General features: G+C 35.5%; 1 protein-coding gene and 1 long non-coding RNA gene across 4 annotated transcripts in view; one reads left to right on the top strand and one right to left on the bottom strand.

Moving 5' to 3' along the window:
- TRDN-AS1 (TRDN antisense RNA 1) overlaps window positions 1-6742 on the bottom strand; it is a 32153-nt gene extending 25411 nt beyond the window's left edge. The window contains exon 1 of the long non-coding RNA NR_110844.1: window positions 6569-6742. This is a non-coding gene — a long non-coding RNA (TRDN antisense RNA 1). The remainder of the gene's footprint in view (window positions 1-6568) is intronic.
- Window positions 1-18671, top strand: part of TRDN (triadin) — a 420612-nt gene that overhangs the window by 190605 nt on the left and 211336 nt on the right. For 2 of the 3 annotated variants that reach the window (NM_001407315.1, NM_001251987.2), the window contains 2 exons: window positions 7343-7402; window positions 8221-8283. In NM_001407315.1, coding sequence (NP_001394244.1) covers window positions 7343-7402; window positions 8221-8283 — 123 coding nt within the window. The remainder of the gene's footprint in view (window positions 1-7342; window positions 7403-8220; window positions 8284-18671) is intronic. The other variant, NM_006073.4, reaches the window with a different exon arrangement.

Below are 18671 nucleotides of genomic sequence, written 5' to 3'. Positions count from 1 at the left end.
GTTAGTTACATATGTACACATGTGCCACGCTGGTGCGCTGCACCCACTAACTTGTCATCTAGCATTAGGTATATCTCCCAATGCTATCCCTCCCCACTCCCCCCACCCCACAACAGTCCCCAGAGTGTGATATTCCCCTTCCTGTGTCCATGTGATCTCATTGTTCAATTCCCACCTATGAGTGAGAATATGCGGTGTTTGGTTTTTTGTTCTTGTGATAGTTTACTGAGAATGATGATTTCCAATTTCATCCATGTCCCTACAAAGAACATGAACTCATCATTTTTTATGGCTTCATAGTATTCCATGGAGTATATGTGCCACATTTTCTTAATCCGGTCTATCATTGTTGGACATTTGGGTTGGTTCCAAGTCTTTGCTATCGTGAATAATGCCGCAATAAACATACGTGTGCATGTGTCTTTATAGCAGCATGATTTATAGTCCTTTGGGTATATATCCAGTAATGGGATGGCTGGGTCAAATGGTATTTCTAGTTCTAGATCCCTGAGGAATCGCCACACTGACTTCCACAATGGTTGAACTAGTTTACAGTCCCACCAACAGTGTAAAAGTGTTCCTATTTCTCCACATCCTCTCCAGCACCTGTTGTTTCCTGACTTTTTAATGATTGCCATTCTAACTGGTGTGAGATGGTATCTCATTGTGGTTTTGATTTGCATTTCTCTGATGGCCAGTGATGGTGAGCATTTTTTCATGTGTTTTTTGGCTGCATAAATGTCTTCTTTTGAGAAGTGTCTGTTCATGTCCTTTGCCCACTTTTTGATGGGGTTGTTTGTTTTTTTCTTGTAAATTTGTTTGAGTTCATTGTAGATTCTGGATATTAGCCCTTTGTCAGATGAGTAGGTTGCGAAAATTTTCTCCCATTTTGTAGTTGCCTGTTCACTCTGATGGTAGTTTCTTTTGCTGTGCAGAAGCTCTTTAGTTTAATTAGATCCCATTTGTCAATTTTGTCTTTTGTTGCCATTGCTTTTGGTGTTTTAGACATGAAGTCCTTGCCCATGCCTATGTCCTGAATGGTAATGCCTAGGTTTTCTTCTAGGGTTTTTATGGTTTTAGGTCTAACATACACTCTCCCAAGACTAAACCAGGAAGAAGTTGAATCTCTGAATAGACCAATAACAGGATCTGAAATTGTGGCAGTAATCAATAGCTTACCAACCAAAAAGAGTCCAGGACCAGATGGATTCACAGCCAAATTCTACCAGAGGTACAAGGAGGAACTGGTACCATTCCTTCTGAAACTATTCCAATCAATAGAAAAAGAGGGAATCCTCCCCAACTCATTTTATGAGGCCAGCATCATTCTGATACCAAAGCCTGGCAGAGACACAACCAAAAAAGAGAATTTTAGACCAATATCCTTGATGAACATTGATGGAAAAATCCTCAATAAAATACTGGCAAAACAAATCCATCAGCACATCAAAAAGCTTATCCACCATGATCAAGTGGGCTTCATCCCTGGAATGCAAGGCTGGTTCAACATACGCAAATCAATAAATGTAATCCAGCATATAAACAGAGCCAAAGACAAAAACCACATAATTATCTCAATAGATGCAGAAAAGGCCTTTGACAAATTCAACAACCCTTCTTGCTAAAAACTCTCAATAAATTAGGTATTGATGGGCCGTATTTCAAAATAATAAGAGCTATCTATGACAAACCCACAGCCAATATCATACTGAATGGGCAAAAACTGGAAGCATTCCCTTTGAAAACTGGCACAAGACAGGGATGCCCTCTCTCACCACTCCTATTCAACATAGTGTTGGAAGTTCTGGCCAGGGCAATTAGGCAGGAGAAGGAAATAAATGGTATTCAATTAGGAAAAGAGGAAGTCAAATTGTCCCTCTTTGCAGACGACATGATTGTATATCTAGAAAACCCCATTGTCTCAGCCCAAAATCTCCTTAAGCTGATAAGCAACTTCAGCAAAGTCTCAGGATACAAAATCAATGTACAAAAATCACAAGCATTCTTATACACCAACAACAGACAAACAGAGAGCCAAATCATGAGTGAACTCCCATTCACAATTGCTTCAAAGAGAATAAAATACCTAGGAATCCAACTTACAAGGGATGTGAAGGACCTCTTCAAGGAGAACTACAAACCACTGCTCAATGAAATAAAAGAGGATACAAACAAATGGAAGAACATTCCATGCTCATGGGCAGGAAGAATCAATATCATGAAAATGGCCATACTGCCCAAGGTAATTTACAGATTCAATGCCATCCCCATCAAGCTACCAATGACTTTCTTCACAGAATTGGAAAAAACTACTTTAAAGTTCATATGGGACCAAAAAAGAGCCTACATCGCCAAGTCAATCCTAAGCCAAAAGAACAAAGCTGGAGGCATCACACTACCTGACTTCAAACTATACTACAAGGCTACAGTAACCAAAACAGCATGGTACTGGTACCAAAACAGAGATATAGATCAATAGAACAGAACAGAGCCCTCAGAAATAACGCCGCATATCTATAACTATCTGATCTTTGACAAACCTGAGAAAAACAAGCAATGGGGAAAGGATTCCCTATTTAATAAATGGTGCTGGGAAAACTGGCTAGCCATATGTAGAAAGCTGAAACTAGATGCCTTCCTTACACCTTATACAAAAATCAATTCAAGATGGATTAAAGACTTAAACGTTTGACCCCTGGCTAATTTTTTGTATTTTTAGTCGTGACGGGATTTCCCCTTGTTAGCCAGGATGGTCTCGATCTCCTGACCTCGTGATCCACCTGCCTCAGCCTCCCAAAGTGCTGAGATTACAGGTGTGAGCCACCGTGCCCAGCCAGGCCTGGCTCTTCTTTGAATTTATCTAGCCTGCTGTCATTTCAGGATCTCTGCAGGTATTTTTCCTCTGCTGAAAAGTCTTCTCCCTAATAGCCCAAAGCTCTTCCACTTTTTTCAATAATCTTTCCAATTGCCCATTCAGAAAGGTTTACCCTGATCCACCTTTTAAAAACCAAGCCACCTCCTATGGTCTCAGGCTTTAATTTTCAAAACAAAGCTTTCTTTTTTTTTTTCCTAATCTTTATCATCACTTGTCCAAAAAAATATATATAATATGTATATGTATATATATATTATATACATACATATTCATTTTAAGCCTCTAAAATGGACTTTTCTCTTGCTTTAAACAATTTTAAGCCATATCAAAACCAGACAACATGCCATCGATATTTGCAACTCTTTTTAGGTTACCCATTCCCAGGAAAATTAGAAAATAAATGCAAGATGATGCATATTTCACTTGGTAAATAAGGAATAAACAGGTGAAAGGGGACTCAAACACATTCTACTCATTTCTCTGCCTTTTATGGTTGAAGACAGAAGATACAACATTCATCTATAGTTGCATAAGGTAATGACTACTAATTATAGCAAAATTGAGACTTGAATCCACTTCATTGCAGTACAGTACCCTTCATAACATGTTTCTGTCTTGCTTATGGGTATTTTTTTCCCTTTAGTTTCTTAATACAAAATATTCTAGACATACCCTCCCTGGATATAGAAAAATAAGAATAAAGTTGCATTTACTCAAAGAGATCAGTAAATGTCACACCTAAAAAATTACCTAAAAAGATTATATGTGGTCAGATTTTTATTATTTGTAAAATATAGTAATAGCTTGTCATTATTATCATTATTTTTCTACATCTACTCTGTTCCAGGCATTTTAGCCCAGTTATCTCCATTTCTCACAAGTAAGCAAGGTAGACTTTTTTTTTTTTTCTTTTTTTTTTTTTTTTGAGACGGAGTCTCGCTCTGTGGCCCAGGCGGGAGTGCAGTGGCGCAATCTCGGCTCACTGCAAGCTCCGCCTCCAGGGTTCACGCCATTCTCCTGCCTCAGCCTCCCGAGTAGCTGGGACTACAGGCGCCCACCATCACGCCCGGCTAATTTTTTTTTGTATTTTTAGTAGAGACGGGGTTTCACCGTGTTAGCCAGGATGGTCTCGATCCCCTGACCTCGTGATCCGCCCGCCTCGGCCTCCCAAAGTGCTGGGATTACAAGCGTGAGGTAGATTTTATTAGCTCCACTTTTCAAATGAGGAAAATGAAATTCGGTGTGCCATAGCACATTGCCCAAGGTCACACAACTAGGAAGAGTCATGGACAGAATTCAGCCCAAGGTCATCAGTGCCAGCACCTGTGCTTTCTCTCGTGCTCCACACCCCTCTGTAGATAACAATGGGACAACTCTAATAATCACTCGTGTAATTGAACTTATCTTCAGCTTATGTAAAATTTTCCATGGTCATATTGTGAGCTGGGTTCCAGGCCAATCTCTGCCACTCTAAGAAAACAAGGTGACAGTGATGAGGTATGTTGGAATGCATTGTTATTAAAGAAACAAGTTCTTATTTACTTAACTGGAACCAGGAATACATCAGTTCTGGCCACAGTGTTAGAATAAAAGCACTCATCTGATACACAGAATTAGGATAATCTCTACACTAGAAGGGCAAAGAGGGGAGGAACAAAACATAAGACAAAAATAAAACATTTTGCATTTGTTTCCTCGTGGAAACAGCATCTTAGAAAGCTTTGCAATTGTAATTAAATATTGTGTATTGTCTGGCTTTGAGATGGCATAAAAAACATTTAAAAGCAAGAGAAAAGCCCATTGTGAGGGCTTAGAAAGTAAGAAGTAAGTCGTTTAATTTTTCTTTCATCTGATGTTAATTTATGCAGAAGCTAATAACATATTTGTGGCTCAGAGCTGCTCATTGTAGGGAAGATTTCTTTCCCAACCACACTCTTCTGTGATCCCTGCCAGAATACAGCCATCATTTCAGGGCTTATTATACTTTTGTCAGGGAAAGGTAATATTCTGATACTTTCACATCCTGTAGATACATTTAATTTTTAATCTTCTGAACATCAATGGGCTTAAATGCTCTAATTCTTCTCTAGCTGTTACAAACAAAATGGCAAACCAATGAGAAAGAGATGGAAGAGGAAATTTTTTATGTGTGTTCAAAGTCAGGTAGACAGAAAGGGAAGAGTACTCTTGGCTGTTGAGGAAGAAAAAGTCAGGGGCAAGGAAGTTTTCATAAAAGAAACATGGGTTATTTTTATATCCAAGTAGGATATAATCAAATTGTTATGTTTTTATAAGTGAAAAATTTAATTCCATTGCTACCAAATCACCTATATAACAGAGACAATAGTGCTTGAGGAAATGTAGAATCTTGAGAAGTTGACATTTTAAATGAAATTCAGCATGAATAAAGTAAGTCTCATAATGACAGCTTAAAGGTCTAATTCATAAAAATGTTATTAAAGGACATTAATCTGCATTTTGTGGACTTCTGCTCTTATTCATGACTCTCACAGTGTATGACTGTAATCACAAGCAGAGTGTATAATAGGAGCATTAATTCAATTTGGACGAAGACAAGAATACTGTATCACCACAATAAAATTCCAGCTATATTAATTTGAAGGGTAGAATTTGTTGCACAAGAGCATTGTCTAAAAGAAAATTGAAAAATAAATGAATGCCTTCCATATTCTGGGTTCAAATATCTACTTTCTTTGTGAAGTTCGGTGTAAGATTGACTAATTGGCACAAGCTTTTTAATGAAATATTTATTCATCAACCTTATGAAACTTGGAGACTTGGATACTGAGTTCTGATCTTATGGTTAGTATGGCATTAGTGTTTAGCTTGAGCTTAGAAATATTTACAAGTCATTTGTATTTTAATTAACCCCTTTGCTGATACATGACATCAGAGGTGATGCTTAGCAAATGGCTATTCAATTGTCTGGCATATACATTTATTTAGAGAAGATGTAAAATTCACTACTACATAAAATTTCTCCCAGAGAAGCTGAAAGTAGTGATACTTGAAAGTATCTTCATTCAGAATTTTAAATATGATCTACATGTTTAATATGCATAAACCTTTAGAAAAGAAGAAGTGGAAATCAATTGGTTTATTTCTATCTCTGAAACTATCAAAATTTGACTTCTTGACTTTCTACTTCTGATTGGATGAGCTGTAATAGTATGCTGTAGACACTTTTAGACAAAGTGTGAATACATTTTTCCCTGAGACATTAGATTATCTCTAGAAATCATGAAAGGGGTTCTTTATAAATTATATGTCTAACATTGAAAGAAAGTGTTGTCTTTGATCTTGTAGGTAAAAAAGCTCTATACCTATGGGAATGAGTTAATTCCTCTATTTAATAAGATGCAGTCATTAGTAGACAACTTAAGGATTCATTCTAGAACTACATATTGAATTTCTTTAGCATAATAATGATCTTATAATAGTTCTGGGTAACGGAAGTCTTTGAATGTACCTGTACCTGAGATGAGAGACAACTGACAAAGAGAAAGGAATTTCAAATATAAGGTAAATAGCACTGCTAATTGAAGATAAAAATCAGTACATTTACAACATTAACCGTAGCTATTATTGTCCCAAATCTAAAACCACTGAACATTCAATTTCAACAACTATGTATTAGTACAGGACTTTGTTATCTAAAATGATTATGCTTACCAGAAAAGTGTCCAGGGATGTCCACCTGCTATGTGGCTATGCCTGGGCAGCACGTGAATTCTCTGTCTTTGCTCCCTCAGACCAAGGCTGTCTCAGATTTATGAAACAGGGCTCTTCCACGAAGTTTAGAAGTACCACAAACAGTTTGATGTGGCATCCAGACTTACTGCAACCTCTGGGTGCAAAGATTGAACAGCTTTGTTGATACAACCACTCAGAAAGGACCGTGGAAGTTATGTTTCCAACACACTGCCAGACACTTGTCATCAGGCTTAAATGCCTGTTGGCAAGAGCCAGATATGAAAAACAGCTACATCAAAAGATACCTTTTTAATGGTCTAATATATTATTTCTAATGAAATTAAATGTATAAAAGAAAACAAATATTAATTCTTCTAGTTTATCTGCAGTATATTTTCCAAGAAATATATTTTAATTTTATATATCAATACTTTTAGGCACTAGATAAACAATTGTTTGGTTCAGAAAGTTCAAACTATCACATTCATTATTTGTAAACAGTATTAGCAGTCTACAACGTTACACATTTACTGTGAGCCAGGCACTTTACACAGTGTTTTGTAAACATTAACTTTGAGGGAGGTATTATTATTTGATAAATGAGGAAAATAAGACTTAGTGGGATTAAATTACTTGCTCAGTCACAAAGCTAGCTGGAGGCAGAACTGACTTAACAAAAATCCTTCATTTCAACCTTGGTTTTGCTTTCATACTAAATTTCCCTAAAGGAAATATTTTAAATGTATTCTCTAGAAAAAGAAGGGGAAAAGAAGAAGGCTGAGAAGAAAGTTACTTCTGAAACAAAAAAGAAAGGTAGGAAATTTAAAAGCCATGTACCACATAAATCAATTAGTGTCCATGCATAATACTACTGGTAAATCTATTATTTTCTAGGAAAGAAATTCCCTTAATAAATGCATTGTCATTGTTATTAGTGAACACTCTTAACATGTCTAGATATTCCAAATAAAATTAAAATTGTCAATTTTTAAAAAGAGAATTCAATCCTAAACACTTTTTGAAAATTACTACTGTGATTATTTTTTCTTTCTTAAGAGCAGCTGCTTAATTCTCTCTAATTCACTACTTTACTTTAACTATATATGTGAATATGATGGTTACTATTTAACTAATTCAGTCTAATTTTAAAAGTCATTTTATGTAGAGGGCAGAAAATACTTGATTGGTTTGTTTTACACATATATATATATTTTAATTGGTTGTTTTCAAATAATTTATCTGATGTCCCAAGTGAACTTCAGAGATTTCAGAACTTTTGACATGGTTCTGGTGACCTCATAGCTCAGAGAACATTCAATATATTCTTTTCAATATATGTTAGGAAAGCTGTTAAATAATACCATAATTAATAATGCCATTTAATGTTTTCACTGTTATTAAATAATTTTTGCCTTTGGCAAAAAAAAAAAAGTTCTGTTTCCTGAAGAGAAATTATACCTAAGCCACTAGTCTGTTATGAAGGTGCTACCTTATTCATATTTGACATGACTTATGGCTGATTTAAGATTTCTCTATACAAGATAAATTAGATGCCTCACTGGTAGTCATGCATGCCCTGAAATATTTGCAAGTTAAACAGGTAAAGGCTTATAACTTTCTTATTTTACCAGCAGAAAAAGAAGATATCAAAAAGAAAAGTGAGAAGGAAACTGCCATTGATGTGGAAAAAAAAGGTATTGCACTTTCTTTGTTTCCTTAGATGGATTACGTTCAGGATGTTTGCTTCATGAAAGACTCCTCATGCAACATACACAAATTGCACACAGTTACTTATATCTACCCAAGACGTGAAGGTCAAAGCAAAACTTGCACTAGACAAAGTTAAACAGGCAAAGAAGACTTTATTCAAGGCTATTGCAATAGGACAGAGAGACTGGAATTGAGTCTGAACTCAATTCCCCCCCAAAAAAACGCAGGAATGTTTGTAATGGCTGGTATGGGGAATCACAGGACATCTGTTTTTGCATATTGGCTTTTCCCCCTCAAAACGTAAACTTTCAGTCTTATATCTGCATGGTAAGAAGTAGTTTCACAATGTGGAGCGAGGAGTCCAAGGAAGTTAGGCTCCTACTCTTCCACAGAAACTTAGAGATGGGGCACTATCTTTCTTGATGATTACATTTCAAAGGGATGGCTCTCAGTTCCTTGAGAAAGGCTTTATGGGTTGTGAAACTGAAAAGTGGCTTGTAAATGTCCCAGCTACTAGAGTGGCCAAGACAGGAGCATTGCTTGAGCCCAGGAGGTTGAGGCTGTAGTGAGCACCATAATTGCACTACTGCACTCCAGCCTGGGTAGCAGAGGAAGACCCTGTCTCCTCATCCCCCTACAAAAAAAAAAAAAAAAAAAAAAAAAAATCTGTATCTCAATAAAGTAGAGAAAGAATTTACAGTGACAAGTTTTCCAGTTTTCTGAAGTAAATGCTCTAAGAAAAGGGAGATTAGGAGCTGCTGAAGGTCAGAAAGAAACCTATTAAAGTTTAATCAAGGTGAGGACCACCTTGGTCAAGATACAATGAACTTGAGAAGAGATACATAGTAATAACAATACCACATTGCAAAGATAAGAAGCTGAGAAAGAATAATGCACCCTATTAAGAAATAAGGTTATTCAACTATTTGACAGTTTCGATTTTTGCTTTAAATTTTGTTCTGTTTCTATTCTTGTTCAAACATGAATATTGGCTTCGATTCAGGTTAGGCTTAAGTTTACATGGAAAAGACAATCATCTCAAGTATTATGGTTTGGTGATAAGCATTCTCACCTGAAAGATTTCCTCCACTGATGTCAGTGATGCTTAAAATTCTACCATTAGAACCATTCCATTCCTTTGAGTTATGAAGGAATCGTCCCCTATTAAAATGCAGATCTTCTAGGGCTTGTGTATATGGGGTAAAAACCTAATTCCTCTCAGCTATTAAGAACTTAAAGTAAATGAGATTTCCAGATCTTTCCTGTGTAATAGTAAGCTAAAAATTGTACCCCAGAACATGAGGTGGTAGGTAAGCTTAAACGAAGAAGATTGAAAACTTCAGGGTGGGGAACCGTCTGGGGAGGGCAGGCTGGGTTAGACGGCATTTTAGTGAAAATCTTTCCTTTTCTAAGTAGTAATAATGTATGTGGAAAAAATGATGGTGGTGAGGACCCTAAAAAGAAGAGCATACATAGGATGTCAACTATATAAAGATTATGATTAGCAAGCAGCAAATAGAAATGCGTAGAAATATCTGGCATCATGCTATAAATGGGGTAGAAAAAATGTAAAATATTAAGAATTGCATGATTATGTGGCCCATGAAATGAGCAAGAAGGATCAGCCAGACATTCTGTGTGTCCAAGAGTTGATTGCCCATTCCTTTGCATCCAAATTTCCATTATTAAGGCTGTATTATTGTAGTCTATTGTTCTATTAAATATTCACTCATTTTCTTTTAAAACTTTCTTATTTTCTGATGAAATATGTATTTTATCATAAGAAGGGAAAAACAGTTCTGACTCTATGAATCTGAGAAACTGCTTGCTTAGAGCAGTGGATTTGTGAAAATTACATGATTGAGGGGTAAAGATAAACCAAGATACTTCTTCCTTGCCATCAATTTTACTAAAAGAGTTGCAGAAGAAAATTTTGAGTTGTAATTTTCAAGCATTTTTCATATGCACGCAAATGCAAAATCTGAAAACGTGTTTTTGGCAAAACTCAATGGTTTTGTGTGTGTTTGTGTGTGCTCATGCGTATGTGTGTGTGCATGTGTGTTTGGCTTGGTTTTAGCTTTTTGAGGGAAATGATGAAACTTGTTTATGTGCAATGGTTCATGGGAAAATCTGATACTCCCCTGCCACTGGGAGACCTGTGTTATTAGCCCAGCAGTCATGTCAAAGTGAGGTTGTGCACCACTGGCAAGAGAACGGATTATGCCCATATCACTTCCTACAAGGACAGTGCTCAGCCACCGAAGCAGAGACCAAACTGAGTAATTGCTCAGCACATCTAGGCAGGACTATTCAGCTAGTGTTGTCTTTCTTGGAGCCAGTTTTCTGTTTGTATGCTTGTCATTTTTACTTTTGATTACACAAAATTCCATTGATTTTTCCAAATCAGTTCAACTTCCTGATAAAAGATAGGCAGAGTTTATTTGTTTACAATCCCTCAACCCCCAAATACTCAAAACAGTGTGTGCATGTGTGTGTGTGTGTGTTTGTGTTTGTGTGTGTCTGTGTCAGAGAGAGAGAGAGAGAGAGAGACAGAGAGATTGAGTTTCAGTTAGTGCTAGTTTTTAACTCGTTTCTTTTTAGGGTTTAATAATTCTTTATATTTTCATGTGACAGCAATATGGTTTACAAACAGCAGGTTTCAAGCTTATTATGAAAGTAGTAAAATTTTACAGAGATAATGAGAGAAATTGAGAATAACCTGAAATCTTGAAGAGCTGGGGGACAAAGGTCATTTCTTCCTAAAGTAGAGGAACATGGCAGAGCATATGATCTCACTACTGTAGCCCCAAATAGCAAATTTATAAGGCATAAGATATGCCTACATGCTTATTTAATATATGAGTGTTATTGTGATATTTTATTATATTTATGTTAATGTTAATATTATTTATATTATAAAATATATGCATTTAGTTATATGTTATATGTTATATTATTATTTTATTTTATTCCCTTATATTGTATTATTATGCCGACATGACAAACCTAAGGCTTAAACTCTATTCAGTGATAAATGGGCTTCTACCGTATGACACTGGTAAATCACACTTTGCCAGTGATCTCTGGGGAAGTTGTAGGTGGATGGGCTTTATATGATACAAAATTGCCAACCCATTAATTAATAGGGGTTGAAACTGAGCAATTGGTATATTGGGGTTAATTATAACACTCCTTTATTTAGTGTATATTTGAAATCATCCATGGCAAAAAATTAAATAAATACCTGCCAATTAAAAACATTATGTAAAATTAAAAAAAAATCATCTTGGTATTTTTGCAATGTTATAAGGTACATTTTTACTTGAAGAAATACCATGAAAAAAGCAATCAACAAAAGAAATAAAGACTTTAAAAACATCTCTCTAGGTTTGTATTAGACTTCAGTGCTAGAAACACTAAACACTGTAGTTGGCACTGCTAGAAGACATTCTATACAGGGAACTGAGTACCTACAATGTTATTGAAGGACTAAAATAACTGAAATCAAATAATCAAAATTTGGATTATTAAGCATCAGGGCAGATCAACAGGTTAGGAGACTGCTTTGTTCACCAGCACTGTCTTCTCACAACCACAAAGACTAGATCCTGGAAATGTTGAGGCAAGCCTCAGCAGATTACTAACATCTTCATTTGCCAAATCATTCATCTGCTCTGCCAAACCATTTCTGCTTTCAGTCTGGTGGAACTTGATATGTCTCCAGAACTCTGGCTGCAAGTGAGTCTGTAAGATGCATTCCAATTTTCTCAAGTGAAAGTGGAGTGAAATGGAAGTTGAAAGAGGCTATCAATAGTATCTATAAAAATGATACTTTCAGGAATGTCCAAGATGATAAAATTCATACAATAAGAGATGGTTTTTGAACACCTACACTTTATAGTGATGAAACCTATCTTTGAGTTCCCCCAAAAGATGAAAAGGATGACACAACTAAGCAATATGATCAAATTTGGCAATTCCAAGTGTTCACAAGGCACACTTACCTGAAGTTTATGTTGCTCTTCACCTTCACTGTAGATAAAAGAAGCATGGATATTCTTTCTCTCTTCCACCACAAGGTGATATTTTTGAAGAAATAACGTTTCACCTACTTGATTAGATTATAATATTTGAACAATTAACAAGTTGACTTGTCTCATAACAAAACAATTATAACCTGGGCAAAATATATAGACACACAAGAGAAACAGGCCAAAGCTAAGATGACCCATTGCTCTTGGGTTGGCCTTTTCATAGTTACAATTGTAAACTTTTAGGAGTTAAATTTGTCATCATCTTATATGTTTATAAACTTATTAACTGTGAAAATAATTTTGACAAAATAACTATTGATAATGGTATAAAATCATATTTAATTATCACACTTTCCAATAGGATTTTTTTTTCAGGAATTATCTGTATAGAACTATAAATTACAAGAAGGATATTAAAACCACATAGCTTTTCTGAAATAAGCTACTAGAAAAAAATGAATGTGTTCATTCATTCATGCATGCATGCATCTTGAAGGAAATATTTAAAAAATGCCTACTATATGCCAAGCTTTGTACTAGGTGCTGAGTACACAGAAGTGGATAAACAGACAAGATCTGCCCTAATGGAGCTTACAGTTTGACAAGGGAGGCACACAGTGAATAAAGACAAAATGTCCACAAGTTCAACTCTGAGTAAGGGCAGTGGAGAAAATAAACTTAAGGCAATGATAGAATATAATGCGTTGGGGTGGGAAGTTATTTAAATAGATAAGATTATTAGAGCAGGCCTCTCTGAGAGACAGCATTTAAATTGAGATCTGATGTATTGAAAGGACTCAGCCATTGATTGCTGGATCATTGTGTGATGTATATATATATATATATATATTATATATATATATATATATTTATGATGTGTGGGGGAAGGGGAGTGTGGTTTGTACTAGGAGTCAGAATATGCAGGAACATGTATAGGTGTTTGGACTTTATTAAAAGTGTAATGGAAGAGATTGAGCTGAAGTTTTAAATATGGGAATCTTTATAGATTATAGTTGATGCTCTTGGAATAGATGAGACTAAAAAGAGACAGTGTGTCAAAAGAAAAAGGGAATACAGTCCAGGATCAAGACCTGGGGAAGTCCAACACCTACAAATTCAATGGTGGAAAATAAAGCAAGAGAGGCTGAAAGAAATTGCCAGAGATATTAAAGGAAAAGTTAAGAGCTTGGTATTATAGATGTTTCAGAAATAGATGTTTCAAGAAGCAAAAGTTATCAACTTTGTGAATGTCACTTACAAGTTTGTTTTACGAGGGCAGAAGACACAAGGGCAGTCAGTGGAGTGAAAGATAAAGTCAGGTTGGAATGGGAGGTGCAAAAATGGAGACTAAAGTGTAGATTTTGCGGGGAAGGGGGAAGGATTACGGCTGTAGGAGGAGTAAAGTCTTTTGTGTTTTGTCTAGTTTTGCTTTAATAGTTCAATCTAGTGCCCGATGTACATAAACAGAATGTAGGAGATTGATGCTCAGAGGGACAGAATATATAAGCAGAAATCGAAAAGATAATTGAGAAATTATAGTTTGATGAGTATTTGGTGAAAACTACTCTTTTTTTTTTTTGGAGATAATACCACAGGTGCTGTGATATTTAAAAAGTTGATGTTTTCAAATTATGACTAGGATTCTATGCAGATTGCCTTAAAAGAGAGGCATGCATTTGTAAGATATACAATATATGATTAGGTGGCTCTGGTGATAAAACTAAAACTCCAATAATAAATACATTCTGAGATAAAAGCCTCAATTTTAGAAAAAGATATATCCAAAATGTCTTTTGTGCTCACTGAGGAAAGTTTGTGAAATGTATTTTAACAAAGCTCTTTAAGGATCATTCATTTACAATACCCCATTAGAGCTTTACACTGAAACATCTTTGTGGTGGTGAATTGGTCAGGTAAGATTTGTCTAGTATAGAACTCATAAAGAATTTGTGCTGTTTAAGGGATACATTCGTATCTATTTCCATCAAATTTTTTCAATTACTGTATGTGGCAAATAATATTCTGCACAAACTAAAACCTTTGGCTATTTGCTTTCTCTCTACAAAATCTGCTTTTCTCATTGAGAAATTGCAAAGAGTCCTTTACAGAAGCTTATTGCTTTGAATATACCATTAAATATTATTGTCTACCAGGCATTAGAATATTATGTATTTTACTTTTGAATCTTTTGTAACAAGTTGTTCTAGCTCAAAATAATATATATGGCAGACTACAGATCACTTAAATTTCTACATTTACATGTAACTAAAAGAAACCTATTTTAAATATTTATGTGTACATTTATAATTGGACAAAATAACATATAGTATCTTTCATATGTATTCATGTTAAGTTTTAGTTTAAAAGAACATCCTTCCATTTTCTAGACTTGTATATTGAGAAGATTATAGCTTTTTTTCTGATCACCCACATCTTTCTCCTTATTTGAAAAGCACTTGGTTTTAGAAAGTTATCTTTTTTCTGGAGTTTTGCAAATATGTATTTGGGCAAGATTTAACAAATGCATCCAATTGGTATTGTTAGACATTGAAATCTAGATAAATTTTTTCAGGATATTTGATAGTAATCCAGGAGTTACTATCAAGTTATAAATGTAGATAATTCATACACTTTTGAGTGATATTGGGGCAGTTGTATTATTTTATATTCCAGATAAAATTTTTTAAAATTCATTCAGATAAGTAAAAAATGGAAAATCTAGTACACATTAGACCTGGTTTAATCAGTATTTCCCAGCCTTGACTTAGTGAGGCTCCACAATTACAAGGCAATAGTAGATTCCTTTCAAGTTAGCCTTTTGTTCCACAACAGATTAGGTTGTAAATCTGCGTTCAGATGACAGCGTCTTGACTGTGTTAAAAACACTGGCTATGCTCGAAGGGCTTTGAAGGAAAGAGAGTATATTTTCAAGTGTTTTATAATCATGGAACTTAGGTAAGACAATAGTTGTTTAAACATTTGAGAATAAGAGATTTTCCAACAGTGGAAAGTCTTCTGACTTGTTACTTACTATGATATCTTGTTACTTACTATGATATTAGCTCTGGAAGCTAATCTGTTTTAGAGAAAGTAAGATGGAGTTACCACTATAACTTATTGTGGGAATATCTGAGATAACTTTTCACATATTCACTTTTGGTTTGAACAATACAAAAGTGAGCTTGGGCTGAATGCAAAAATGAGGTAAGGACATGGGCATTTTAAAATAAATATTAGAAACTCAGAAGGAGCGAAGGTTCATGTTAAAAATATTTAGGCCTGAAAAGAGGACTAGTATACATGCGACTATTTTTAATCTTTTTAATGCTTATTTTGGGGACTTGGGGCTACCCTCTCTGAGGACAAAAACAAGATCACCTCTGAACTTGAGAGGTGTGTTATATTATATTATTATATTATATTTATTTTTTTGAGACAGAGTCTTGCTCTGTCACCAGGCTGGAGTGCAGTGGCGCGATCTCGGCTTACTGCAACCTCCGCCTCCCGTGTTCATGCAGTTCTCCTGCCTCGGCCTCCCTAGTAGCTGGGACTACAGGCACATGCCACCATGCTTGGCTAATTTTTTGTAGTTTTAGTAGAGACGGGGTTTCACCGTGTTAGCCAGGGTGGTCTCAATCTCCTGACCTTGTGATGTGCGCGCCTCGGCCTCCCAAAGTGCTGGGATTACACGTATGAGCCACTGCGCCCAGTCTGTTTTATTGTTATTATTATTATTATATTTTGAGACAGGGTCTTGTTCTGTCTACCTGGCTTTAATGCAGTAGTGTAATCTCGCCTCACTGCTGCCTCAACCTCCTGGGATCAAGAGATACTCTCACCTCAGCCTCCTGTGTAGCTGGGACCATGGGCACGTGCCACCATGCCTGGCTAATTTTGTTTATTTTTGTAGAGGTGAGGTCTCACTGTGATGCCCAGGCTAGTCTCAAACTGCTGGACTAAAGTGATCTTCCTGCCTGCATCTCCCAAAGTGCTGGGATTACAGGCATGAGTCACTGCACCCAGCCTTGTATTATCTTTTATTAAGTTCTTTCAACAGGGAGAATTGAAATGCATATAAAGAAGAATCAGTAAATATCAGTAAATAGACCACATATTTCTTCTCTGTACGCATTGATATATCAAGAATTTTTAGCAGGTCTTGCACACGTTAGATAAATTATTTTAAATTCCAGTTCATATTTATTAATAGGATAAATTATTTTCTGAAAAAAGTTAAATAAAATAATGTAATTATACAGTAGTCTCTTGCAAATATCATAAATTTTCCTGGGAAAATGACACAGAGTGGCATAAGAAATGGAATGTCAGTTAGACACCAGTTATTTTTTAATCTGTTAATCTCAATTTAAAAATATGGAGAGATTTTGATCAATTTGTTAGACAATAATGTGACAGTGTGGCCTGAGTTTTCCTTGTGACTTGAGATACATATTTAATAATGCAGATGTGAAATATCCAGGCAAATTTTGTCGTTATATATCCTAAAAGTCTATAAGATTTTCCTTTCAGTGCAAGTAAAGCTTTAAAAACATCAAAGTGATATCTCCCTCAACTGCAGCCTCTCTAGGGATCCCAAAAGCGTATTTTTGAAACAACAGCAAATTCTGCCAGTATAGATTCATTTTATCAGCAGCATTTTAAAGTAATCATAACAACAGTTATTAAATCTGTTTTCTCATTTAATCATAACAACTCTGTAAGGTAACCATTATAATCCACTTTTTATAGAAAGAGAAACCCAGCATTGGAATAGGTAAATTACTTGCCCATCATCACCAGTAAGTAGAGTGAAGTCAGTATGAAAGTCACCAAATAAAGCTTCACTGTCTTTTGGGACCCAAAAGCACTTTGTCTTCTAATTCTAGGAAACAATGGTGGTAGACTGCTTTAGTGTCTTTTTTTTTCCTCCCTCTTTTTCTTTTTTGCTAATTTCCTTCAGATGATATTGCAGACAGTGGTAAACATGTAGGAAAAAATGCAGAAGAGATCCTGTAGGTCTGACTCTTACTTTTCTTGTAGAAATTATGCTTTCCTTCATTCATTCACTCAAAAAATATTTAATAATCCCATAATACATGCAAGGAAATCTGCTTAATGTTGGACATAGATCAGTGTAATAGACATAGATCTTGTCTCCAAGGACTTCAGCAAACAAATAAGTAAAAATTATACCATGAGCACTATAATAGGGTAAATACAAGGCCTCACGCAAAAATCAAGGCAGAAGTATAGAAATTACTTCTCTTTTGTGGTAGGTGAGTGACTATTAGAGATCTAGAACAGGGACACCACCGACCTATGTAATTAGGTATTTGACCAAGACACATATAATATTTATTTTTAATCAGGATAGAGACTGGAACACATACACTTTTAACAGTGGTGTATCACTGAAGATACTTGATCTTGCAAGTGGCAGATGATCTCAAAGAAGGAATTTATTAGTTTATCCAACTACTATTCTGGAGTAAACTGGCTTTGAGTTTAGCTTGATGCAGAGGTCACACAATATCATCAGGAGATTTACCTCTCTCTGCTTTTGGACTCTACTCCCTTGGGATTGGCCTATGTAGCTGTAAATTGGCCATAGGTGCTGCCCTATATCCTCTCTTGTTCATGTCCTGCTAGGGACTTGGGAAAGCGGGTAGGGGTGGAATAGATCAGTGTCCTGAAAGGTCAAATAAAAACTTGAGCAGTATCAGTCTTCATAGGCCCATTCCTGAACTAACCTTTGTGGTGTGGGTGAAAGAATAATCTGATTGGTTTATTTTAGGCCACGGGTCCTATCCTTCCAGCAGAGAAATTACATAAACTTTGTCCAAAACATTCGAGCTGAAATTGGATTGGGTGATGATTCCCTAGATTAGGTTTAAAAAATGATGAGATGGACTAGATACAACATTGAAAAAGAAATATAAGTACTCTCTTCAAGAAGTCATTTCTAGATGGTGAAAATCTAGGTGATATGATTTCTTTATTTTTATTTAGAGAATAACACAAGGGAGAAATTTTAGTGTCATCTATGGAGGGGATACTTAAGTATTTTAGAAAACCAACCCAACATAGAATAAAGCAGTGTGATCAACAAAAGCAAGCAAAATTGCAGGTTTCATTCACTAAAATATTATGTGTAGTAAAGAATTAAATCCTTCCCCTCTACTTTGTAGTTTTAGAATTACACTTGGATAATAGTCTTTAATTTTAATAAAGATATTTTAAAATAAACCAGATTATATTCAGGAGAGAGTAGCTCAGAAATGTGGATGTGTAATATGGAAATCAGGAAACAGAGAACATCAAAGCCATGTTTCTAACTT

This window comes from Homo sapiens, chromosome 6 (assembly GCF_000001405.40).
Source record: "Homo sapiens chromosome 6, GRCh38.p14 Primary Assembly".
In the NCBI taxonomy this organism is placed as follows: Eukaryota; Metazoa; Chordata; class Mammalia; order Primates; family Hominidae; genus Homo; species Homo sapiens.
Note: the sequence above shows the minus strand (reverse complement) of the source record. Positions and strands in the feature narration are given on the sequence as shown.